The sequence below is a fragment of the Homo sapiens genome, chromosome 15 (genome assembly GCF_000001405.40).
Source record: "Homo sapiens chromosome 15, GRCh38.p14 Primary Assembly".
Lineage (NCBI taxonomy): Eukaryota > Metazoa > Chordata > Mammalia > Primates > Hominidae > Homo > Homo sapiens.
The window spans coordinates 59,349,595-59,374,051 of NC_000015.10; the positions used below are offsets into that span (position 1 = coordinate 59,349,595).

General features: G+C 45.1%; 1 protein-coding gene across 1 annotated transcript in view, besides 10 other annotated features; it reads right to left on the minus strand.

Moving 5' to 3' along the window:
* The window catches only part of MYO1E (myosin IE), a 240,438-nt gene extending 217,161 nt beyond the window's left edge, over positions 1-23,277 (minus strand). The window contains exon 1 of the mRNA NM_004998.4: positions 22,904-23,277. Within this exon, the coding sequence (NP_004989.2) occupies positions 22,904-22,906 (3 nt within the window). The 5' untranslated portion in view covers positions 22,907-23,277. The remainder of the gene's footprint in view (positions 1-22,903) is intronic.
* Positions 4,122-4,641: an enhancer, noted in NCBI's record as "OCT4-NANOG-H3K27ac-H3K4me1 hESC enhancer chr15:59645915-59646434 (GRCh37/hg19 assembly coordinates)". NCBI's record gives its function as "activates a minimal SCP1, AML or CMV promoter by ChIP-STARR-seq in naive and primed H9 embryonic stem cells {active_cell/tissue: H9 hESC(naive and primed)}" and the evidence as "EXISTENCE:reporter gene assay evidence [ECO:0000049][PMID:30033119]".
* Positions 4,642-5,162: an enhancer, noted in NCBI's record as "OCT4-NANOG-H3K27ac-H3K4me1 hESC enhancer chr15:59646435-59646955 (GRCh37/hg19 assembly coordinates)". NCBI's record gives its function as "activates a minimal SCP1, AML or CMV promoter by ChIP-STARR-seq in naive and primed H9 embryonic stem cells {active_cell/tissue: H9 hESC(naive and primed)}" and the evidence as "EXISTENCE:reporter gene assay evidence [ECO:0000049][PMID:30033119]".
* Positions 5,163-5,682: an enhancer, noted in NCBI's record as "NANOG-H3K27ac-H3K4me1 hESC enhancer chr15:59646956-59647475 (GRCh37/hg19 assembly coordinates)". NCBI's record gives its function as "activates a minimal SCP1, AML or CMV promoter by ChIP-STARR-seq in primed H9 embryonic stem cells {active_cell/tissue: H9 hESC(primed)}" and the evidence as "EXISTENCE:reporter gene assay evidence [ECO:0000049][PMID:30033119]".
* Positions 10,910-11,411: an enhancer, noted in NCBI's record as "H3K4me1 hESC enhancer chr15:59652703-59653204 (GRCh37/hg19 assembly coordinates)". NCBI's record gives its function as "activates a minimal SCP1, AML or CMV promoter by ChIP-STARR-seq in primed H9 embryonic stem cells {active_cell/tissue: H9 hESC(primed)}" and the evidence as "EXISTENCE:reporter gene assay evidence [ECO:0000049][PMID:30033119]".
* Positions 11,412-11,911: an enhancer, noted in NCBI's record as "H3K4me1 hESC enhancer chr15:59653205-59653704 (GRCh37/hg19 assembly coordinates)". NCBI's record gives its function as "activates a minimal SCP1, AML or CMV promoter by ChIP-STARR-seq in primed H9 embryonic stem cells {active_cell/tissue: H9 hESC(primed)}" and the evidence as "EXISTENCE:reporter gene assay evidence [ECO:0000049][PMID:30033119]".
* Positions 16,045-16,629: an enhancer, noted in NCBI's record as "H3K27ac-H3K4me1 hESC enhancer chr15:59657838-59658422 (GRCh37/hg19 assembly coordinates)". NCBI's record gives its function as "activates a minimal SCP1, AML or CMV promoter by ChIP-STARR-seq in primed H9 embryonic stem cells {active_cell/tissue: H9 hESC(primed)}" and the evidence as "EXISTENCE:reporter gene assay evidence [ECO:0000049][PMID:30033119]".
* Positions 16,630-17,212: an enhancer, noted in NCBI's record as "H3K27ac-H3K4me1 hESC enhancer chr15:59658423-59659005 (GRCh37/hg19 assembly coordinates)". NCBI's record gives its function as "activates a minimal SCP1, AML or CMV promoter by ChIP-STARR-seq in primed H9 embryonic stem cells {active_cell/tissue: H9 hESC(primed)}" and the evidence as "EXISTENCE:reporter gene assay evidence [ECO:0000049][PMID:30033119]".
* Positions 22,222-22,541: a silencer, noted in NCBI's record as "silent region_6488". NCBI's record gives its function as "represses an Ori minimal core promoter by ATAC-STARR-seq in GM12878 lymphoblastoid cells {active_cell/tissue: GM12878}" and the evidence as "EXISTENCE:reporter gene assay evidence [ECO:0000049][PMID:35858748]".
* Positions 22,557-23,060: an enhancer, noted in NCBI's record as "NANOG-H3K27ac-H3K4me1 hESC enhancer chr15:59664350-59664853 (GRCh37/hg19 assembly coordinates)". NCBI's record gives its function as "activates a minimal SCP1, AML or CMV promoter by ChIP-STARR-seq in naive H9 embryonic stem cells {active_cell/tissue: H9 hESC(naive)}" and the evidence as "EXISTENCE:reporter gene assay evidence [ECO:0000049][PMID:30033119]".
* Positions 23,061-23,565: an enhancer, noted in NCBI's record as "NANOG-H3K27ac-H3K4me1 hESC enhancer chr15:59664854-59665358 (GRCh37/hg19 assembly coordinates)". NCBI's record gives its function as "activates a minimal SCP1, AML or CMV promoter by ChIP-STARR-seq in naive H9 embryonic stem cells {active_cell/tissue: H9 hESC(naive)}" and the evidence as "EXISTENCE:reporter gene assay evidence [ECO:0000049][PMID:30033119]".

The window sequence follows — 24,457 nt, forward strand, 5'->3', positions numbered from 1 at the left end:
TCAGTGAATGCATTACTAATTAATTTCGTTCTGTGATGTCTGTTCTACATGATGATGATATAACTTTCTGCAAAACAAAAACTGAGGCACTCTACATCTGCCATCCATCCCTCCCCAAACTAGGAGATATGAAAGTTTGAGGCTGAGCAGGTCAAGCAGGGATGTGTCTGTTTTCTTGAACCATTTCTAACCTTACTCAATTATTTCCAACTGAAGCATTTCCTTAACAGGCAACATGCAACTCTTTCAAAGACAATCTATTAAAAGACTGGAGAGAAATGATATCATTTCCCTAAAATTTAGTGAGCCAGGACTTGAACAGGTTTGTTAGAAAAACACTAATGCGGTAACTCTATTATTGCCTCTAACTTTAGGGCGATGTGGTAGTCAGAAAGGAGGGGTGGCTAGAACAGAGCCTCAGCCACAACCAGGTTGTGGTGCGTTACATAGTCCCAATGGTGGTATCTAAGGCATTTTATAATTTTCTTATTAATTGTCAATACATCACCACTTGAATGAAAAGAGAATGGAAGCTATTCTTACTTCATTTTTTAACAAATGAAACTGAAGTACAGTTAAGTAATTTGTTCTACTCAGTTCCAGGAAACAATGTGGGGAGGAGGGCCTCCTTCCCTGATCACCAGGCAGGCTCCTGCCTTTCCTCAGGGTGGAAGAGATCCACTGCTGCTGTCTGCTGACTCACCTTCACACTCCAGCTAGAGGATACACTGACTCACAGTTTCATTACCTTCTATTCACCATGACTGTAGTCGTAGACACTCAGAAATGGGAGTTCCAAGAACTGAGCAGGAGAAGGAAAAGAATGTAGATGAAATTGAAAAGGATAAAGGGTACAGCCTCTATCATTGAATAAACCAGAAAAGACACAGGAGAATGTAGTGTCTGCCCTCAGAGACTACATGCATTACTGAGAGGAAAGTGGGGAGAGGAGGCCTGATCCACAGCTAACCATAATTCCCCAATATGAACTGCCAGATAACCAGGGAATGTCGAGAGTGTACAGGAATGTGGGAAGGCCAAAGGGAAAGATGGTGAATTCTGAAAAATATAAAGAAATGTAAATTATCTCTGATCTCAAGAGGCTTACAGTCTACTTGGGCTGTAAGAGACTGTGTGAAAACAGATAACAATGCAAGATGACATAGTTTAGTCACAAATAAATAACTCTATGGTAAGGGCCACAATTTGGAGAAGGGAATGATCTCCACGAGTTAAATCAGAGGCTTCCAGGAAATGAGTCTTTATTTGTTGTTGTTGTTGTTTGTTTGGTTGGTTGGTTTTTTGTTTTTTGTCTTTTTTGAGACGGAGTCTCGCTCTGTCACCCAGGCTGGCGTGCAGTGGCGCGATCTCGGCTCAATGCAAGCTCCGCCTCCCAGGTTCACGCCATTCTCCAGCCTCAGCCTCCAGAGTAGCTGGGACTACAGGCGTCCACCACCACGCCCAGCTAATTTTTTTGTGTATTTTTAGTAGACACAGGGTTTCACCGTGTTAGCCAGGATGGTCTCGATCTCCCGACCTCGTGATCGGCCCACCTCGGCCTCCCAAAGTGCTGGGATTACAGGTGTGAGCCACCGCACCCGGCCTTACTTGGTTTTTTAAGGATTCAGATGAACAGGAAAAAAGGGAAGGGAAATCTAGTCACAGGAAATGGCCTGACCAAGGAGTGTATTCTAGGCAGACTATAAAACATAAACCTGAGAATAAGTTCATTCGTTCATTCAATCAATATTTAGTGAAAATCCACTGTGTACAAGCACTGTGCTAGGAGCTAATAGCAGGAACAAGGCATGTAGGCTGCCCTCACGGAATTTATTTGAGAAGGACTACTGGAAAATAGAGTTGGATAAATGCAACCAGTAATTGGTTTAATTTAGACCGTAATGCATTTTGGTCTTTAGACTGTTCCCAGTAGGAACTGAGAGTTTTTGAGGAAGAGTGACAGATGCAAAGCCGTGTTACTAGAAGATGATTGCGCTGATGCTATTTCTGTGAATTACCGGGGGATAAGAGTGAAGACCACTTAAGAAACGCTTATAATGTTCCCAGTGTAAGACAATGCACATCCAAACTAGGGTGGCCACTGTGAAAAGGAAGGGGGAGTCCTGTGAAGATATACTCACAGGACGTTGGAAATGGCAGGAGCAAGGCAGGGATGGGAACAACAGACAAAGACACTACTGTCTCCAGCATAGATGCCTGGGGGAATTCTAAAAGGAAAACCAGGTAGGAGTAAAAGGTAAGGTGCAGTTCTCCAGCGCCAGGACTGGAGTGTTCTGAAGGCTGGGCTCTTTTCAATGCCCTTCTCTATTTTCATGCTATTGATCGTCCCCATTCTGGATCTCTTTCTTCCTCTCTGGCCTGACAAAATCTGTTCTCACCCTCTTTAGGAGAAGGTTTGATAGACTAGTTCAGAGGGATCAGTAATGGGAGAAAGTATAGCATGGACAGCAGCCGTGGAAGAGGCACCCCGGGTTGATAGGTTTTCCAAGCATGCTGTCGGCAACAGCCTATTCTGTGCATCTCCTTAAGGATAGCTGGACTCCCTCCAGAATTGTCCAGGAGAAAAGTTTCCCTCGATTCCACTTGGAAGAATCGCTCTTTAATTTTTGGTTGAGCAGGATAATTAGAGATGATTGAGTCGCATATCTGAAAGCTTGGGATATTTGGCACGTCCCTAACCTTGGAAGATGATATCCTGGAGGGCGGCCATCACACTTCCTCTGGGGAAGTGTCCCTGTGCCGTAGTGCTTTGCAATCATCTAGAGACCTTGTTAAAACACAGATCTGCAATCAGGTGTGGGTGGGACCTGAAGTTCTGCATTTCTAATAATATCCCAGGGATGCCCACGCTATTAGTCCGTGGACCCACAACCTAAATACGCATGTGTCTAGAAGCAAACAGCTCCTCTTCTAAGCAGACCTTAGATTCAGATGACCAGGAGTTTAAATCCCCTCTCTGCCACTTTTCAGATGGGTAACCTTAAACACGGTACCTAACTCATTTTCCTCATCTGTAAACCAAGGAAAATACTAATATGTACTTTAAAGTAGATACAAATGCTGGATGATATAGAAGTGGTTTCTTAGTAATCGCTAGTTCCAATAGCAGATTCTCTTCTATTCAACAGTGTGTTAAACTGTTAAATTCACGGAAGCATACCCAGCCCCCCTCAAAGGCTCTAAGGTCTGCAGAAGGAATTACCAAGAAAGCAAAGCACAGAACTCCCTCAGAAACTGGAGGAGCCATTGAAAACTCTTTATCACCATGTAATCCTGTACAATCACAAGCACTTCCGAAAACAGCATTATCCTGTATTTGTCTGAGTGATTTATAACGTTAAGATCGACCACATGATTTCCTAGCTCTAAATTTCCCAAACTCCGGTTTGCAGGGAAAGGAAGCATTTCTTTTCTAAGGAAGTCAGCACACCTAGATCTAGCCAACGGCAGTTGATTTTTAAGTTTCTTCAACCTTCACATTTCCCTTTCTCAAAAGTTGGATCCCACCTGCATTAAAAACTACTGTCCTAGCACATTACAAAGTTATTCAATCTAAAATGTCTTGTTTATACTAAAATTATAAAAATGCATTTAAGCCAGGTGTAGTGGTGCGCGCCTGTAGTCCCAGCTACTTGGGAGGCTGAGGTAAGAGGATTGCTTGACCCCAGGAGTTTAAGGCTGCAGTGAGCTGTGATGGCACCACTGTACTCCAGCCTGGGTGACAGATAGAGACCCTGTCTCAAAAAAAAAAAAAAAAAGAAAAGAAAAGAAAAGAAAAGAAAAAAAAGAAAAAAAAATCCATTTACAACACGAACCAGAATAGTCTTATACTGGATTCTTTGTCAAAGGTGAAGAAACAGGCCAGGTGCGGTGGCTCACACCTGTAATCTCAGCACTTTGGGAGGCTGAGGCGGGTGGATTACCTGAGGTCAGGAGTTCAAGACCATCTGGCTAACATGGAGAAACCCCGTTTCTACTAAAAATACAAAAAAATAGCCGGGTGTGGTGGCGCACGCCTGTAATCCCAGCTACTCGGAAGGCTGAGGCAGAAGAATCACTTGAACCCAGGAGGTGGAGGATGCAGTGAGCTGAAATCATGCCATTGCACCCCAGCTTGAGCAACAAGAGCAAAACTCCGTCTCAAAAAAAAAAAAAAACAAAGAAAGAAAAAAACGCAAAGGTAAAGAAACCTCTACATTTTGAAAAGCAAACCACAGCTCTGTAAAAGCGAAATTTTTGTCCTGTTAAATATCACCATTCCCTTGTACACATTAATCTTTTAACTCCCAAAACCTAAAGCATGTGAACATAAATAGGCTCCAAAATAATCTAGAGTTTGTGTGTACAGATAGAAAAAATGTGCATATTTTATTTTTAAAATTACTCTCACTTTCTCTACCACACACTAAGAAAAACCCCCATTTGGAGAAAGCCACACCCTTCACTAACGGCTCGATCAACCTTTCAAAACAACATGAAGGGCAAACATTAAGAGCCATTCAAAACCAAGGGAAATGACAATACAGTTGAAAAAAGTTCTCTGAATGTAAATGAAGCTACTGGAATTTGTGGGGAGCAGAATAAACAAAACAATTAAGCCATTAGCCTGTCTCCTTTGAGACCGTCCTGGCCTTTGGAGGAGAGCAATACCAGATTCCTCTAGCACAGGTGGATGGCACGTTGGCTTAAGGAAAAACAAAGGCAGCAAATCCTCGTCTTTAAACCAGAACAGACACAACCTTGGTCAGGAAATTTCACATTCTGAAAGTCCGTATCACCTAACAAGGAAAACCTTCTTATCCTGGCCATGAATCTAGCAGTGATCTTTCATATCAGCAAAAGCAGCCTAACCACTCCCCCACAAACGTCAGAAAAGCCCTCGCTTGGGGTCACAGGCCTGGGTGTCCTCAGGTGGCAGAACTCGAACAGACTGCTGCCTCCATGCCAGGTGGGCACCTGGCATGTGAACCTAAATGTGATAATAAATATCAGGCTCCAAAATGGTGCCCAGGTGGGCACCATTGCAATGGCTCTTTGTTCGGAGTTGGGAGCTTTTGAACGGATAGTGGTGAATTTGGTTTCCATTTTGACCTGGAAAGAGTAGCTCCACCCCTTGTGGGGACAGGTCAGGACTGGTTGTGTGATCTCAGGTAATTATAATTACCTAGCCTCTCAATTGAAGGGGCGTTAGTAGGAAAGGAGTGAGAAACAGGTAGAAACCTTCCCAGCCTACCAGCTTCCCTCCACAGCTACCCCCTCCTGCAGGAGCCCCACCGAACCACTAATATCCTGTTCTGTGAAAAGAAAACTCAAAAGGAAGCCCTAGTGGTTTTATCTGAGGGGGCTACTTTTATCTTTGAAAACTATTTCCAGTTTACAATTAGTTGTCTCCTTTAATCCGCTGGCTCTCATCAATCACTCATTCACTGGCGGCTGCCTTGCTGCCACCAAGTTGAATTGGAGGGTTTTCAGTCCTCTGGGCACTTTTGGTCTAGTGGGGAACAGTTGTTCAATTCAGCAAAGTTGCCAATTCTACCCCATGCCAGAAATACAAACACAAACCATGAGCATGACAGTGTCCCTCTCCGTCGTGACTTTCCAACCAAGGAGGATGGAATAATAAATATTAAAAATATCACTCAAAAACTTCCAATTGGCAGGAGGGCCCCAATTTACCTTGCCTGTCTCAACTCCTCCATTCCTTGTCTACAAGCCACTGGCAATTCCTCCTTCCAAATGTTCTAACTGGTGGTGATCTACATATCTTTCCAGATACTACAGGTTACCTACTCCTGCCACTCACGTGGGAGGCTATTTCTTTTACCCTTCTGTAGAGCTTAGGATACTTCACCCAGCCACCTGGAGCTGGAAATGGACTCTAAAAAGCTCAAAAAGTGCAAATCTGCCAATTTTTCACTTGAGTTCCAGAACAAAGATTTTATGCGCACAGTTTGACCCTGCCAGTCTTAGTTTCACTAAGCATTTTAAACATCCAAATTCAACCTGTCCTTCAAAACCACATGCAATTTTAAAAAGCAAATTGTCTAATGCGCAATCCCATGGCAATTCTTTCGATTCCTTTTTCCATCTCTTGTATTTGCCTATTTCTTTTTTTTTTGAGACAGGCTCTGACTCTGTCACCCAGGCTGGAGTACAGTGGCATGATCAGGGCTCACGGCAGCCTCAACCTGCCAGGATCAAGCAATCTTCCCACCTCAGCCTCCCAAGTAGCTGGAACTACAGGCACACACCACGATGTCTGGCTAATTTTCGTTTATTTTTTTGTAGAGACGGGGTCTCACAATGTTGCCCAGGCTGGTTTCGAATGCCTGGGCTCAAGCAATCCACCTGCCTAGGCCTCCCAAAGTGCTGGGATTATAAGTGTGAGCCACCACGCTCAGCATATTTGCCTATTTCTTAGGCATCTACACTTGTGAAAATCACTGGCAACATATACAACAGATTCTGTTTTCTAGGAGAACTACCTTTTGTTAAACAGTTGCACGGGGAAGGCGTTTGCCCCATTTTCAACATTATAGCTGCTGCTGAGTGAAGAAAGGCATCATGACTGCAGATTGCTTTCTACTGCCTTCCAGGGACAAGCCACCTGGCTTTCAGGTGCCCTTTTAAGTGTCTTTTTATCACCTGTCTCCTCTCTGTCCTCACCATTCCATCTTTCCGAAGGGCAAGCACAACGGAGTGGGGAGTGACACACATCAGACAAGGTTCCAACGAAAATGAAAGGCTTGCGACATTCAAATCACAGGGTGCTTTCACCTATTCATTCACTCCTGTTCATTCTATCAGCTGAGTACCCACGAGCAGCAGTTTTTTGGAGTAGATTTTAAGAATGCTCCACCTTGTAGGCAGTTCTGCATCCTACTTTTGTCCCTCAAGGAAAAGACCTGGGGGTAGTTTTAAAGATTGTATACTGATGCATAACAAAAAGAAATACAAACATTTTTCCCATTAAGTTTTTTGGGGTTTTTTGTTGTTGTTTTTCCTGAAACAGGGTCTCTCTCTGCAATCTCGGCTCACTGCACCCTCTGCCTCCCGGGCTCCAGCAATCCTCCCACATAAGCCTCCCAAGTAGCTGGGACTACAAGTGTGTAACACCACAACCGGCTATTTTCTGTATTGGCAGGTCTTTGCCATGTTGCCCAGACTGGTCCTGAACTCCTAAGCTCAAGGGATCTGCCTCCCTTGGCCTCTTAAAGTGCTGGGATTACAGGCGTTGCACCACTGTGCCCTGCCTCCTGTTAAGTTTTTTTTTTTGTTTGTTTGTTTGTTTTTGGTTTTTTTTTTTTGAGATGGAGTTTCACTCTTGCTGCCTAGGCTGGAGTGCAATGGCACGATCTCGGCTCACTGCAACCTCCACCTCCCGGGTTCAAGCAATTCTCCTGCCTCAGCCTCTCAAGTAGCTGGGATTACAGGCGCCCACCACCACACCCAGCTAATTCTTGTATTTTCAGTAGAGATGAGGTTTCGCCCTGTTGACCAGGCTGGTCTTGAACTCCTGACCTCAGGTGATCCACCCACCTCAGCCTCTCAAAGTGCTGGGATTACAGGTGTGAGCCACCGTGCCTGGTCCTCTCATTAAGTTTTAAAATAGTATCATATACTCAAGTATTGGAAGTCAAGAAACAACGAGGGGAGGTGGGAATGGGGAGAGGAGAGGCTGGGATACAAAGCTGAACGAGAAAGGATTCTACCTGAAAAGTAACTGATCAGAAGGAAAGACAAAATGCACATTAGCAATTATAAGATCTTTATAGATAAAGTGCTCATGAGATTTTGAAGAAGGAGATAACTTTTTTTTTTTTTTTTTGAGACGAGTCTCACTCTGTCGCCCAGGCTGGAGAGCAGTGGTGCAATCTTGGCTCACTGCAACCTCCGCCTCCCGGGTTCAAGCAGTTCTCTTGTCTCAGCCTCCCGAGTAGCTAGGATTACAGGTGCCTACCACCACGCCTGGCTATTTTTGTTGTTGTTGTTGTTGTTGTTGTTTTGTATTTTTAGTAGAGACAGGGTTTCACCATGTTGGCCAGGATGGTCTGAAACTCCTGACCTCAGGTGATCCACCTACCTTGGCCTCCCAAAGTGCTGGGATTACAGGCGTGAGCCACCATACCTTGCCAAGGAGGTAATTTTCAATGATGAGGCTCAAGAAGGCAGAGTTAAGGCTGGTTTAAAAGAAGAATTAGACTGACGGGATGGAGAGGGGGAGGAATTGATTCCAGCCAGACACAAGCTGAAGATGGAGAACATCTAAGCCTGAAAGGGAAACACCAAGTGGATGAATTTGGTCAGCTGATATAGGTGAGTGTAGCCACACTGCAGAGGTGGAATCACAGGACTTGGCAAGTGGTAGAATGTCACAATTCACTACATCTTAATTGGAGCATATAAAATTCACTTTTGTCAACTGACACTTAAATACAACTGCTGCAAAAAACTGAAGACTCTTGACTCATAGCCCCAAACAAAGAGGATGATGTCTCCTTGTCTCCATAGAGCAGACAATGCTTGCCACATTGTCCTCCATGCTTGCTTGGAGAGTTGCTAAGCAGGGCTGGACCAAGGAGTATCAAGAGAGCCTTAGGGAAGAGGAGGAGGAGGACAAAAAGGAGAAAGAGGAAGAGGAGGATGAGGAGGAAGAGGAGGATGAGGAGGAGGAGAGAGCTCCCTTTGGTTTACTGGCCTTACTTATGTTTCCTCACTTCTCAGCAGGTGCAAACTATGTCTCCTGCCTTCTCCAGCTCTCCTCATCCTTTCCAAGTCCAGATGAATGCTTCAAGGAGAGGATGGACAAGAGGCCTTGTGGGGAAAGAAAAGGACACTAGTTGGAAGATGGGTTTGGGGTGTGAGGGTGTGTGAGAGAAAGAGCTAGAAGGAAAAGGCCATCCCAGTTTTTCTACACCCCAAGCCCTAGTTCTAGATCATAGAAACAAAGCACAGAAATCTGCTCCAGAGTCCAGATATTAAGGCCCAGCAATTTCTTATGTCAACTATTAAATACTAATTTTCTAATTAATATCAATGTATCCTCACCAGGAAAATGGGTTTTCAATTATTTATATAAAGTAAAAACTTTATGTCCCTGACATATTTATTTGGAGTCTGTATTGAATGCATTTCTCTTTGTGATCACAGAAAAATTTACCACTTTGAACCTCTCTTCTAATACACCATTATGTTTGATTTTCAAACATTTCCAGTAAAAGCAGGTTTACGACCATAATTCCTGAACTGTGGGTTAAGAGACTTGTATTCTAGGGACAACTCTGCTATTAACTTGCCAAGTAACTGAGAGACCTAGGTCAGGCCACCACAGTTCCCTGGACCTTAAAGGGTCACTTGGGGAGACCATGAACCACATTGGGGATTTATGAATCTTTTTCCCAGGAAAAAATTCACTTAAGAATGAATATGGACACAAACAATTTCATAGACTACCCTGGAAGTGGTCTCCAGGATACTTCTCATCTTGACATTCTATATTTAAAGCTATTTGGTCACTGAAAGAAACAAGGTTGGGCACAGTAGCTGTCACCTATAATCCCAGCATTTTGGGCCACCAAGGCAGGAGAATCGCTGGAGACCAGGAGTTCTAGACTAGCCTGAGCAACAAAGTGAGACCCTGTAAAATATATATATATTTTACATACATATATATATATATGTATGTGTATATATATATAATATATATATATATTTTTTTTTTTAATTAGCTAGGCATGGCAGCTCATGCCTGTAGTCCCAGATACTCAAGAGGCTGAGATGGGAGGCTCTCTTGAGCCTAGGAGGTTGAGGCTACAGTGAGACAAGATCACACCACTGCACTTCAGCCTGGATGGCAGAGCAAGACCCTGTCAAAAAAGAAAGAGGCTGCATGCGGTGGCTCACACCTGTAATCCCAGCACTTTGGGAGGCTGAGATAGGAGGATCACTTGAGGCCAGGAGTTTGAGACCAGCCTGGGCAACACAGCAAGACCTCATCTCTAAAAAGAGGAAGAGGGGAAGGGAGGCAGGGAGGGAGGGATATTATTTTCCATAGCCATTACCATGATACATATGATACTGCCTAGGTAGAGCTGGGACTGTAGGGTGGGGAACCAATGCTGTCCTGCACACTGAGACTATGAATGCCAAGATATCACTGCCAGATCCTTCTGTGGATGAGGCTGGGCCAAGCTTGAAGAAGTCCCCTCAGTGGCTGGAGATGCCTACAGCGTTCTATAAAACAAAGCCACTCCTATTAAAACTTAAAGGGAAGCTATTTGCTTTGGTTCTCTGAGTATATCTCTTCTTTCAGTCCAATGAGCAGTTAGTGTCTAGCTTTGCTCTATGTGAAAGCCAATATAATATGGAGATATTTATGGATGAAATGGTATGCTATCTAGGATTTGCTTCTAAAGAAACCAGGGGAAGATAAGAACAGTGAAATCAAGATTGGTCATGAGTTGTCAACGGCTGAAGTTGAGGGATTTGTTTTCTCTCCAACTTACTTATTTTTACATTTTTGATTGAAAGACAGAACAGAAAGTCAAAGTGAAAGATCAGGAGGTCAAGGAATTTTTCACGTCCTGTACAAGTCCTGGGCACGAAGCTAAACTAATCCTACTCGATTCACGTCTTGACGAGCCCACAGATAGCAAAATCTGTGGCTCACAGAATATGGAATTGACACAGGGTTATTTTGAGAACCATCTTACAGTCCAAAAGACATGACTTTCAACCAAGGGGAAAAAAAAAAGAATTTTTGTCTGTGTGTGGAATGTCTTTCTTCACATGGACAGCTCAGAGGTGGGCGAAAATGCAGAATTGGGCAGCAAGAAGTATTGTCCCCACCTTGGAAGGCCTGCATTCCCCTTTCTGTCCAGCAGGCCATCGAGCCCAGCATGGTTTGGCATGATTCATTGCTCTCTAACTTTGGACTTAATGTAAAATGTTTGTTATTCTTGTAAAGCACCCTTTAGCAGATAGAAAATGATTTTCCTTCTTGTTGTTAGCTTCTGTTTTTGCCCTTTTTTTCCCCCAACAAAAGACAGCAGTTTTAGAATGAGACTGAGCCTCATCACTACAAAAGGACTTCAGCTCCGATTCCTCATGCCTTGCTTGGGAAAGCAGCAGCAGACAGAGCAGGAGCCATGCTGGCTTCTGTCAAACAAAGGGGTTCAGGGGATCAGCCAGAGAAAACTGGAGCTACCACTCAATCTATTCCTGCCTCCAAGTATTCCCGCAATGTAGGAAAGTTGACAGAAAAGGTTGAGGGTAGGGAACTGAATCTGAGCCTTTGGGCAGTCCTCTTCCACAGTGACTCTGGACTTGACAGTGTGACTTGCTTCAGCCAATGGGGATAATAGCAAGCATGACGCAAGCAAGGGTTGAAAAATGTGTGTGCCCTGGAGCTTGTACCCTTGCTTTTCTTGGGAACCCTGTGGTGTGACCACTACTATGTAAACAAGCCAGAGCTAGACTGTTGTGACAAGAGACACATGGCCAAGCCATCCCATGGCCCCAGCTGAGACTGGACCAACTACCAGACATGTGAGTGAGGCCACCCTAGATCATCCATTCCCAGCCAAGCCACTAGCTGACCACAGTGATTGAATGAACCAGCTGAGACCAGAACTGCCACGCCAGTGCACAAAATCATAAGAAAGTATAAACATTTATTATTTAAGTTACTGAGTTTGGGTGATTGGTCACACCAAAAGCTAACACAAGAAAAGGTGGCTAAGCAGAGCTAAGATGTATTGAACATTGGGAGACATATCCCCTAATGGCTCTTTACACAATAGTCAGTGGGACTCACTATTGATGCGACTGTATGTCAACTGTCATTGAAATAACCTGACATAGATCCAAAATTGACCATACTCCCTAATACTCATTTCAAGACAATGTTAGTTGTAATTCTTGGAATGCTACTGTATGGGCTTCAGGGGTTTATAAACCTCCTGAAGTTAAATGAAGAATTATATGTATTTTTTCATCTGAACTGAGAAAAGATGTTAAAACTACAGAGGATAACAAAGAAATATATATGTACAACTGCCTAGAATTAATAATATCTCATCATATTTGCTTTGGATTTTTCTATATGTAAAGCAAATAAAACATTACTGACTCAGTCGTCTCCCTTTCCTCTTTCCCCCTTCAGTATTTTGAACTTGGTGTGGATCTTTCTAGTCTGTGGATTTTTTTAATTAATTTATTAATTAATTTATTTATTTTTTGAGATGGAGTCTGGCTGTATCGCCCAGGCTGGAGTACAGTGGAATGATCTCAGCTTACTGCAACCTCCTCCTCCTGGGTTCAAACGATTCTCCTGCCTCAGCCTCCCGAGTAGCTGGGATTACGGGCGTCTACCACCACGCCAGGCTAATTTTTGTATTTTTAATAGAGATGGGGTTTCGCTATGTTGGCTAGGCTGGTCTCGAACTCCTGACCTCAGGTGATCCACCCGCCTCGGCCTTCCAAAGTGCTAGGATTACAAGCATGAGCCACCACGCCCAGCCTATATTTTTTAAAATAATATCCACACAAATACATATATGTACACATACACAAATAAATGTATAGACCCCCAAATAGCAGTCTTATTTTGTGTTTTTGACATTTTTCTTACATGGTTTCAGATATGCGTCTTTCTACAACTTGCTTCTTTACCAAACACTACCCTTGTGACACCTATGCATATTGATACCATATTATCAAACAAGCCACATGTATTTCTCTTCCAATGAACATTTAGATTGTTCCTGTTTTGTTTGTTCTCGTGATCTGCGGAATGTTTATTTGTTATTATAAACACTGTCAGGGAAAAGGTCAGTAGCTTCCAACATATTCTCAGAGGACTCAGGACATTCTCCCATCCAAATGTTAGGAATCTCTGATAATCTGATGTGGAGAAAGGGCACTGTCATCATTTTGCATTGATGCATATTTCTGCATTACAGCATTCCCAAGCCTTGAAGGAAGCTATCTTTACTTACATTCTTAAAATAGCTTATTAGATTCTTCTGCATTTAAATCTAAAATTTTCTATAAGGTCTGCATCTTCCTAGGACACCAAAAACAGCCCTATTATTTTTTCATTGAAAATTTCTTAGAATCAGATAATACTGTCCAAAATATTCTGTGACCATGTAATGTTATCCTAAATTGCTGTCAACATCAAATGGTGGTCACACCGAAGAAATTATTAGGAGACTAACAATGTGATATTCTAATTTTGTTGTTGTATTCTGTAATGTATTTAAGAATTAAACAACTAAATCTCTGTTGTTCTCACATTTTCCTATTTTCTATTTTTTTTAATCCTAGTTAAGATTAGAGAGCCTTCTAGTATGACTTTCTTTTTTTTTTTTTTTTTGAGACGGAGTCTCGCTGTGTCACCCAGGCTGGAATGCAGTGGCACGATCTCGGCTCACTGCAAGCTCCGCCTCCCAGGCTCACGCCATTCTCCCACCTCAGCCTCCTGAGTAGCTGGGACTACTGGTGCCCACCACCATGCCTGGCTAATTTTTTTTGCATTGTTAGTAGAGACGGGGTTTCACCATGTTAGCCAGGATGGTCTCGATCTCCTGACCTCGTGATCCACCCGCCTCGGCCTCCCAAGGTGCTGGGATTACAGGCGTGAGCCACCATGCCCGGCCAGTATTACTTTCTTTTACTTTTATGCTTGCTCTCACTATGACATCTTCTAGTCTCTATGGCAAAGTCCCAAAGCAAGGAAATTAAAACTCAGAACACTACTACTCATAACAGACAATGTTCTTAAGTCTAAATTATCCCCTCTGGTATTACTGAATAAAATCAACCAAAATTGGTGATTTTCTATCAGCCTTACCTTCCCTCAGGAGTATGTGAAATAATGAAAAAGTATACAAATACGTGGACTCGGCATTGTCAAATTTAGAAATAATTTATTGAACCACTTTTCAAAGAGCATGGACTTAGCAGATCTGGCTGGTCACATACAAATTGTGTGGCCCTAAGTAATTCCCCTCCCCTCACTACACTTTGATTTTCTTACCTGTAAAATGGCAATAAAAACCAACACTGGTGCTAGAATGAAATGAAATCATGTATATGGAAGCCTTTTGTTATCATTTCTCCACTATATGGGGAGCTTCTCATAAGCAGAGGCAGAGAGACTAATTCATCTTTTTGGAGACGGAATCTTGCTCTGTCGCCCAGACTGGAGTGCAGTGGCAAGATCTTGGTTCACCACAACCTCTGCCTCCCATTTCAAGCGATTCTCCTGCCTCAGCCTCCCGAGTAGCTGGGATTACAGGTGCCCGCCACCCCACCCAGCTAATTTTTTTGTATTTTTAGTAGAGACGGGGGTTTTGACATGTTGGCCAGGCTGGTCTCGAACTCCTGACCTCAAGTGATCTGCCCTCCTCGGCCTCCCAAAGTGCTGGGATAACAGGCCTGAGCCACCATGCCCAGCTCTAATTCACCAAGCCTGTATGCTAACCTCCTTTGCCATGGCAATGTCTTCTCTCCACTTTGAGGTTCAAAGCTCTCCATCTCCATCCACTCCCGTTCTCTGGTAAGACCACTCATATTTGCCAAGGAAGACCTAGAGGTCTGAGTACCCACTGGTGTCACATATTTGAGTGTCAACGCCAGAATCCAGGGGGAGCACCAATGGTAGGTACCTTTGGGCTAGAACCTGGGAATGTGGAGTATGCATCCCAAGCTCACCCAAAGAGGGGGCTTCTTATCTCAGGAGCCAAAGATTAAGCAGCCCATTACTGACCACAGCGGTTCTAGTGGGTGGAAGGAGGAACTCTCCCCTGTACACACTTCTGGAGGAAGTCTCCATACAGTTATGACACACAGTGAGTAATCCGGCTACATGGGATTATAATACTGCCACCAAAATATAACAAATATGCTTATCAAGAAAAAGGATTTGTAAAACAAGTGGAAAAATAACAGAACACAAATTGTATATTTGCCCCATAATTACAACCACATAAAAACAATGTGTTTGAGGCCCGGTGTGGTGGCTCATGCCTATAATCCCAGCACTTTGGGAGGTCAAGGTGGGTCACTTGAGGCCAGGAGTTCAAGACCAGCCTGGCCAACATGGTGAAACCCTGTCCCTACTAAAAATAAAACAGTTGGCCGGGCATGGTAGTGTGTACCTATAATCCCAGCTACTCAGGAGGTTGAGGCAGGAGAATCGCTTGAAACTGGGAGGCAGAAGGAGGTTACAGTGAGCCGAGATTATGCCACTGCACTCCAGCCTGGGCGACAGAGTGAGACTCCATCTCAAGAAAAACAAACAAACAAAGAAACAATGCATTTGAACAGACTGAAAGGAAACCCAGAGACAAAAATAATTACTGTGTTAGGGTGTGGGGGTACTTTGGGTGAATTATTCTAAATTTCTTTTTCTTTTTTTTTTTCTTTTTTGAGATGTGCCCCAGGCTGTAGTGCAATGGTGTGATCTCGGCTCACTGCAACCTCGGCCTCCCAGGTTCAAGCAGTTCTCCTGCCTCAGCCTCCCAAGTAGCTGAGATTACAGGTGCCTGCCACCACACTCGGCTAATTTTTTATTTTTAGTAGAGACAGGGTTTCACCATGTTGGCCAGGCTGGTCTCGGACTTCTGACCTCAGGTGATCCCTCCACCTCAGCCTTCCAAAGTGCTGGGATTACGGGCGTTAGCCACCGCGCCCGGCTGAATTCTTCTAAATTTCTTATAATGAAGTTAGTACAGTAACCTTCCACCTACAAGCAGACTTTCTTGAAAAGTCCCAGAAAGAAAACTATCTGGTCACGTCCAGACTCTTAAAGAATTATTCCCACCACTGTTTGGTAAGAAAAACCTTATTAGACTGGGATCTAATAAGGTTAGATCTGCACTGGATCAGATCTAACTTGGATTCTGGCACCAGCTCAGCTAAAAACTAGCTATGAGACTTTGGAAGTAATTTAACCTCTCTAGATCTCTCTGTGAAGTTAACAAATGGATTTAGGATAGAATTTTTAAGCTCTCTTCTGGGCTTTCTACAATGTAGCCTATGTTTTACTTTCTATAATGTAACGTATGACCATAAAGTGCTATAAATGAATTTGTAACAAACATTATCAGAGCTCAAAAGACCCAAGAGAGTGTGCCTCCTTCAGAGCAGTTCTTATACTTATTCCAGGAAAAAGGGACCTGCTGGATACTGCATATCTTTAGTGGGGCTAATTGTTCCGCCTTTGAGGCACAATGTAACTTCTGGAAACACCTGAGAGGGATGTAATACAAAGTCTGGTGAGTAATAGGAATGATCACACTGGGCACTAAGGAGTTAAAAAATAAAAAATAAGGCCCTCCCTCCTTCCCTCTTCTTCCCTTCTTTCTCTCTTTTGAGACAGAGTTTCACTCTTGTTGCCCAGGCTGGAGTGCAATGGCGTGATCTAGGCTCACTGCAACCTCCGCCTCCCAAGTTCAAGTGATTCTCTCTGCCTCAGCCTCCCAAGTAGCTGCGATTACAGGCATGCACCACCACACCTGGCTACTTTTGTATTTTTAGTAGAGACGGGGTTTCACCAGGTTGGCCAAGCTGGTCTCAAACTCCTGACCTCAGGTGATCTGCCCACCTCGGCCCCCCAAAGTGCTGGGATTACAGGCGTGAACCACAGGGCCCAGCCCTGTCTCTTTCTTTTTTTTCTCTCTCTCTCTTTCTCTCTCTCTCTCTCACTCTCACCCAGGCTGCAGTGCCACAGTTACAGCTCACTGCATACTTGAACTCCTCAGTTCAAGAAATCCTCCCACCTCAGCCTCCCAAGTAGCTGGGACTATAGTGCATGACACCACACGTGGCTAATTTTTAAAATTTTTTTTGGTAAAGGCCTGAACGACCACACCCGGCAAAAAAATAGGTTTTATTACATAGCTCATAAATGACCATTCAAAAGTGCTTTGAACAACGGCAATGACGTCATTCTCATGGTGGTAACTCAGAAGGGCGGGCCAACTTCATTCACATGTACAGTTTGAGTTCTATGGGTTGTCAAAGTTCATGTCACTATGTTAGGGCTGGCTTTTACAGTTGTACTTCTCTTAAGTGTGGCTGTCCCAAAGATATATGAAAAAAATACTTTGCTAGGATGCCCCAAAACCTTTTGTCTCTGCCAACATAAATTCTGAAACTGAAATTCAAAACACAATTTGTTTACCACTATTACAGAATGTGCTTATAAGGCTGAGATGTTTATTTTAATACCTTTGGCATTTAACCTTTAACCTCTTATTTACTTTGTAAATATTTCAGCATGGTGAGAAAAAGAAAAAAAAAGTTTTTAAAAACTCACCATTAAGAAACATTTTAATCACAGATTGGTAAAAACACAAGTTGCTGCATTTTCGCAAAAAAAAAAAAAAAAAAAAAAAAAGAGATGACTCAAACTTGGAAAACCATGACTGTACATAATTCCTATATATCCTACCATGAAGCTTATAATACCTTGCACTTACACAGAAGATTTAAAATATTTCTGCTTGTTGAAGCAGATAAAAAGAGATTTCTCAAATTCCTAATGAATAATAAGGCCCCACACTTGGCTCATGAGGAAACGCAAGGTACTATATGTTCTTTCACTGAGTCTCACAGGGGCTCATCACATGCCCACACTAGGCACAGAGGCAAAATGTTGTATTCTAAGTTATCAGAATGCACGCCGCTGCTCATTATCTAACCCTCAGGAAAACGCCTGAGACAGACCGCCAATTCATGAGATTCAACTGAAAAAGGAGTGAAAAACAAGAAGTCCATCATGTGACATTGGAGGCCATGGCATTTTCAGTGGAGGAAGGAGTTGAAGGGTTGAAGAGAAAAGCTCAATTTGCAGCCTCACCACTCGTGGAACCATCCTACACAGGTGTTGAGATAGCGCCAAACAGTAGCAGCTGGATGCAGATTTTCCCTGTTATAATAGCTTAGAGAATGCATAGGCTGAAAATACCAGGCTATTCCCTCTCTTTAGGGAGACCCAGTAGGAAGGTGTGGATGTATGGATAAATACTGAATGCCACTACTGGGTATGCAGTGAACGTTTAGACATTCTTCCTGGTGAGTGAATGAGAAGAATCACTGTGGTTCACAGAAGGACACCATGTTAAGACTTACAATAAAGTGGCTGCAAACAGCTAATCTGCAGCTGTGTTTGGCCCCTCTGAGATGATCAAATCACATATAAAAATTGGCAGAGGCCGGGCGTGGTGGCTCACGTCTATAATCCCAGAACTTTGGGAGGCTGAGGCGGGCAGATCACCTGAGGTCAGGAGTTTGAGACCAGCCTGGCCAACATGGTAAAACCCTGTCTCTACTAAAAATACAAAAATTAGGCGGGTGTGGTGGTGGGGCCTGTAATCCCAGCTACTCAGGGGGCTGAGGCAGGAGAATTGCTTGAACCTGGGAGGCAGAGGTTATAGTGAACCGAGATCGCGCCAGTGCACTCCAGCCTGGGCGACAAGAGCAAAACTCTGTCTCAAAATAAATAAAAATAAGAACTGGCAGATATAGCATAAAAATCTAGATTTCTAGTTTCTCTTGAAAAACAAGATAATTTGGTAATATGGTCGATATAACCATGGCCTAGAATCAAGTAGTGGTGCCTCCTAGAATGGCACATATATTCCATATTTACTCTCTAGAGGCCAGCCTCCCTCCACCAAATTATAAGACATTTAAGTTTGCAACCACTGGCCGGGCACAGTGGCTCATGCCTGTAATCACTTTGGGAGGCCGAGGCAGGAGGATCACGAGGTCAGGACTTTGAGACCAGCCTGGCCAACATAGTGGAACCCCGTCTCCACTAAAAAATACAAAATATTAGCTGGGCATTGTGGCAGGCACCTGTAATCCCAGCACTTTGGGAGGCCGAGGCAGGAGGATCACGAGGTCAGGACTTTGAGACCAGCCTGGCCAACATAGTGGAACCCCGTCTCCACTAAAAAATACAAAATATTAGCTGGGCGTTGTGGCAGGCACCTGTAATCCCAGCTGCTTGGGAGGCTGAGGCAGGAGAATCGTTTGAAACCGGGAGGCGGAGGTTGCAGTGAGTTGAGATCGCGCCAGTGCACTCCAGCCCGGGCGACAGTGAGAGACTCCAACTCAAAAAAAAAAAGTTTGCAACCACTGACAAGACTGTAGTCCTCAGCAAAAGTGTGGTGGAGGTGACTTTCAACTTCAGTAAATGTCTGCTTCTTATACTTCTCCATCCCTCTCCATCCACTGCTCCACCCATTTTCTCTCCAAGGAGATGCCTGGGCTGTCAAATATTTCCCACTAGGATGGCCCACTCACACTTGTCCCTAGATAATGTCCCGGACTCTAGGTATTTCCCCAACGCTTTGCCTCCATCAAAACTTTTTTTGTGCTTGATCCCATTCCTTTCTGGTTTTGTTTTGTTGTATTGTGTTGTTTTGACTAGGAGACTACTAGCAATCTGATAAACTAATCTGTGGAAATCAAGTAGGTTACCTTCCCAGGAAACATTTGAAATGTATTCCAGACTTTCTAAATACATGCCATGCCATCACCTAAAGGAACTTACCTACCTTATCATCAGCTATCCATCAGATTTCTAGGTTGTAAATCTATTCCTGGGTATTCTTATGTGTCATATCTATAATTTCCTCACAAGTATATGCAAGTAAGGAAAAGGGAACAGCTCTTGAACATGTTTTGAGGTGATGGTCAATTCAGATTTGCTCAAATATTTCTGTATATTTAATGCACAGAAACCTTGCATAAAAATCAATCACAATTTCTGGATCCAAAGCACATAGCGGACCTACAGCCATGGGTTTCAGTCTATCAGAGAGTCCAAACTGGTCATGGCCACAAAAGCAGAACTTCCTTTGCAGATGATGATAAGCCCAGATTCTACGAAGGAAGCCTTAGATGGGTATTACGGTTAAAGTCAACAGAGATTTTTTTGTACTCTGCTAAACAACCTCCACTAAATTATAAAGATGTGCAGGGTTTTTTTTAACTTCTTCAAGTCTCCTTAGGAAAAAGACACAAGTAACTATTGCCTGGTAGTGTTCCTAGTTTTCTCAAGATAGAAAAGTGTCCCAAAGTGAGTTTTCAGGAGGAAGATAGAAGGTGAACTACAAGCTGTACACTGTGTTCATGAGTCAGAAAATGAAAATGGCTATTTTCCTTATGAGTCACAACTGAATGAGTCTTAGTAGGGCCTCAGGTACAGATGGAGAGCCCTCCTACTATGCTACCAGACTTCCTAAAAGACACACGCACACACACACACTCACACAGAAGAAGTCCACGGTATAGGTGTTCTCCCTATAGCCCAGCCAAGGGCCTTCTTTTTCTTCTTCTTCTTCTTAATATTTTTTAACTGAAACAGGGTCTCACTATGTTACCCAGGATGGTCTTGAACTCCTGGGCTCAAGTATTCCTCCTGCCTCAGCCTCCCAAAGTGCTGGGATTACAGGCGTGAGCCACTGCGCCTGGCCGCCAAGGGCCTTCTGATGAATTTTAGCCTCCATGCTAATCTTCAGCCACACCCAAAGAAGGTAATGTCCTTTCCCTTCCTGTTCTAAGCAGCTGAAGGGATACAACTTGGGCAGGCCTGGGCAGATGTGGAACACAAAATGAAGTATCATTTGGCTTGACAGAGTCTGACATAAACATTAAATATTGTAACTTGGGTTTCTGATTATTTAAGATGATGCTCTATTCTAAGGCAACTTCACATACATAATGAACAATTTTTCAAGTCAGGAAAGAAATGATTAACTTTGGCCAAATCACTCTGGATCCAGTAGATCTATCAATGGCACATCTCCTGTTTCAGGACAGCCAGCTGTTTCAACTTTTCCATCAGTGAATTGTGACTTCAGCAACCATATCTGATGCACAGATAGTCGCCTGGGGGCACACAACATGCCCATCTGTGCTGATGGCAGGGAGCCCATCAATAGGGAAGTCACACACTGTCCTCAGATAGAACCACCTCTTCCCTACAGCATGCCTTCTTCGCATGCATTTGACCAACCCTCTACTTCATCTGCAATGGGGCTGAATTAAGCATGGTATCACAGGTTTCGGAAAAGGCAACCTAGAGTATATTTCAGTCCATTCAGCATGAAAAATGAGTTTAACTGAGGGGAAGTTAATTTCCTCAAGGTACCACTCAAGTACTTAAATTCAGTAAGATTCTTTAAGTTCTTGACATAAACACATTGATTTTTTTAAGAAATATTGACCCACGGAAAATGATTACAGCAATTCTCAAGTACCAGGACTATCACACTGCTTCAAGGGACCAGGTGCCCAGTGAGGTAGCTTCACCCAAACACATGCCCAATGGGAATGGTTCTCTGCTGGGGTGAGGGAAGGGGTCCAAAAGTAACGTAGAGTAGACTGACTTCTTAAACCTTAAAACTAGAAGAGGAAATGTATAGACAAAGTGTTCTCTTAGATGGGGCAAAAGTGACTTAATTTTGGACTATGTAAAAAGAAAAGGCTTTGGCCGAGGATGCCTTGAAAGGTTTCTCGTTGATGTTTGTTTGTAATCATTCTTTGGAATAAACAGCACGGGGCAAGGGGGCTTCTGAGCTTTGTGTGCAGGTTTCGATGGGCCTCTGCTGCACTTCCCTCAGGCTGCTCACCGGGATATCGATTTTTTAATTAGTGTTGTGCTGGTTATCATTTTGACTTGGCTTCTCTTCCACAGCCATTAGAAAACAACAGCAAACCAGAAGAGGACGAGATAATCCACCTAAGCAGGACTACTTGAAAAGAAGCAAGTGTGGAAACTATGAAGCCTTGTAATAGATTTTTTTTTTTTTGATGAACTGCCGATCTCTTCAAAATAGAGTCCTTGCTTTCGTGCCCCGCAAAGAAAAGTACACCACGCCAAAGCCCAAGGGAGGTGGCTAAGGTTATACAGGGAGGGAGGGGAGTGTAGCTGGACTGGGGAGTTGGAATAGCAGAAAAGTCACAAGTCAAAGAGGCGGCCCCTTCCACACATTCCCAAAGTGCCAAAGGGAAAACAGCAACAAACTCGAAACTCGCGAGGGCGTCTTCCCGTGCGAAGCGTCCCCTGGATCCCCGAAAAGCCCCGATCCCCTCGCGCTTGGGAAGGGGTGGGGTCCTCTTCAGGAGGTGTTTACTTGGCGTCCGGGGCGCGGAGACCCTCGGGGCCGGCGCCCGGCACAGGTCCGGGGCGGCGTGGTTGCCGCCCGCGCCCGAGTCTCCCTGGCTCTTGACAGCCCGCCGGCCGCCAGGTGCTCGCCCTACCTGGCGCCCCCGCCTGCCTTTGTGCGGCCCGCGCCGCCCCTCGCCAAGGCGGGCCAGGGACCGCCCCCGCCCGCGTGCCGCTGCCAGGCGGGACAGCTGCGGGCGCTGCCGGGCAGCGGAGCGGCGGCGGGGAGGAGAGGGAGTCGGCGCGAGGGTGCCCGGGGCGGGGCGGGCACGGCCGCGGGGAGGGCAGGGGACGCCGCCAGCGGCTGCGGCGCGAGTCTCCGAGCACCTCCCCTGCCGGCTGCGCCCCCCACGTCCCAGCAGGAGGAGGGGACCCCCTCCCGCGCCGTGCCCCTCGCAGCCGATGCGCCCACACCCTGGCTTCCGACAGCTGGCAGCCATAGCAACCCGGCCACAGAAAGTTTCGCGACGCAGAAACCGACTTGGAATAAAGTTTTCCTTGGCCCCTCGCTCGCTCTCCCCCGGCCCGGGTTTACGGAAAGCGGCAGGAAATCAGAGCTCGCGACGTGCCGGCTCCCGCGTCCACCTTCTCCACCCCTGGCCCCGGCAGCGCGCCCAAGGTGGGTGCACCACGCCGGGGTTTCCTGCCCCGTCCCCGGGTCCGGCGTCCTAGGACGCGGCGCGGCCAACTCACCATGGTGACTCGCGCCGCGGTCGCGTCTTCGCCGGGTCCCGCTGCCGGGGAACTGGGGCTGGAACGCAGTCTTCTGGGCGAACTTCAAAAGTTGGTTCCCCTCGCCAAAAACAGGCTCCCGACACCCAAGCACTCACAGGAGCCAATGGGAACCCAGAGGGGACTCCATCCAGGCGGGATTGGCGGTGCTAGGTGAGGGCGAGACGGCGGCGACTTAGCAGGCGGGGCGCATGCTGCGGAGGGCAAGAGTCCACTCGTACTCGCCGGTCGCCGCCGGCCCAGGTGAGTCCGATGCGCTCGGAGCGTCCGCCTCGCTCCCCTGCCTCACTCCTCTTTCTTCGGCCACTTAATCCGTACTCCTCTGGCTGAGTCTCGGCTCGGGCCGGGCAATCTGTCCATAAATGGAGAACTCAGCTCAGGCCTGACCAATCAGGGTTTGTTTTCGTAGCGTCACTCCTCAGGGAAACCGTAGTAGCCAACAAGCTTGGAGCTGCTGGAGTTTCCAAAGATCTCTGGATCCTGTAGTCCTCCTCCCGCGCCAGCCACCGAAGAACGCTGCGGACCCAGCTCGCTCCTGGTAGCAAGACCCGAACTGTAAGGAACAAAACCCTCGTGAAAGAGGAGCAAACCTTTCACTTCGCTGCGTTTTAAGACGAAAGTTAGGGTGGGTTTCGCTTCCAAGTTGAAGGGGCATGATTTTCCCAGAACTTTTTTTTAAGAAGGAAATATTTTATCAGCATAAAACATCAGAGTCGTGGCAGCAGCCCAAAGGAAATCCTTTTTCTTTCCTACGTCTGGATTGTGAGCAAAGTCAAAAATATCATTTCCCCACCCCTCCTTTTACCTGAATTTCCTTGGAAAACAAAGGAAGACTTCCGGCTGCTTTTTCTTTTCTTTTTTCTGTTTTTCTTTTCTTTCTCTTTCCTTTCTTTCTTGTTTCTTTTTTGCACGTTTTGATGGCAGAAAAGTTGTTGCACGTGCAGTGGGCAGAGGGAAGGAGAGAGGAGAGATAGGTGGGAAGAAACCCCATCCAACCTCAGCCAACACATCTGCTGAAAACAATCAGAACTGTAAAAATGCATTATTCCAGACTGTCGAATATCCAAGGAGAAGATTGGGGTGGGGCGGGGTGGGGGGAAGCAGAATCTTAAAATCAAGGTAGGGAGTTTGATTTTATTGTTCTGGAGGCTGAGGAAGTAAATTTGGTGAGTCTTAACAGGCTGCCTTCCTGGAATCTGTAGAAGATAAAATTGGTAAACTTCAGGGCATAGAGAAACTATGAAGCATAATGATATTATGATACTTTCTGAAATTTGGTTGAGGCAGGGCGCTGTGGCTCACGCCTACAATCCCAGCACTTTGGGAGGCTGAGGTTGGTGGATCACGTGAGGTCAGGAGTTTGAGACCAGCCTGGCCACCAACACGGTGAAACCCCTTCTCTACTAAAAATACAAAAATTAGCCCGGCATGGTTATACATGCCTGTAATCTCAGCTACTCGGGAGGCTGAGGCACGAGAATCGTTTAAACAGGGGAGGCGGAGGTCGCAGGGAGC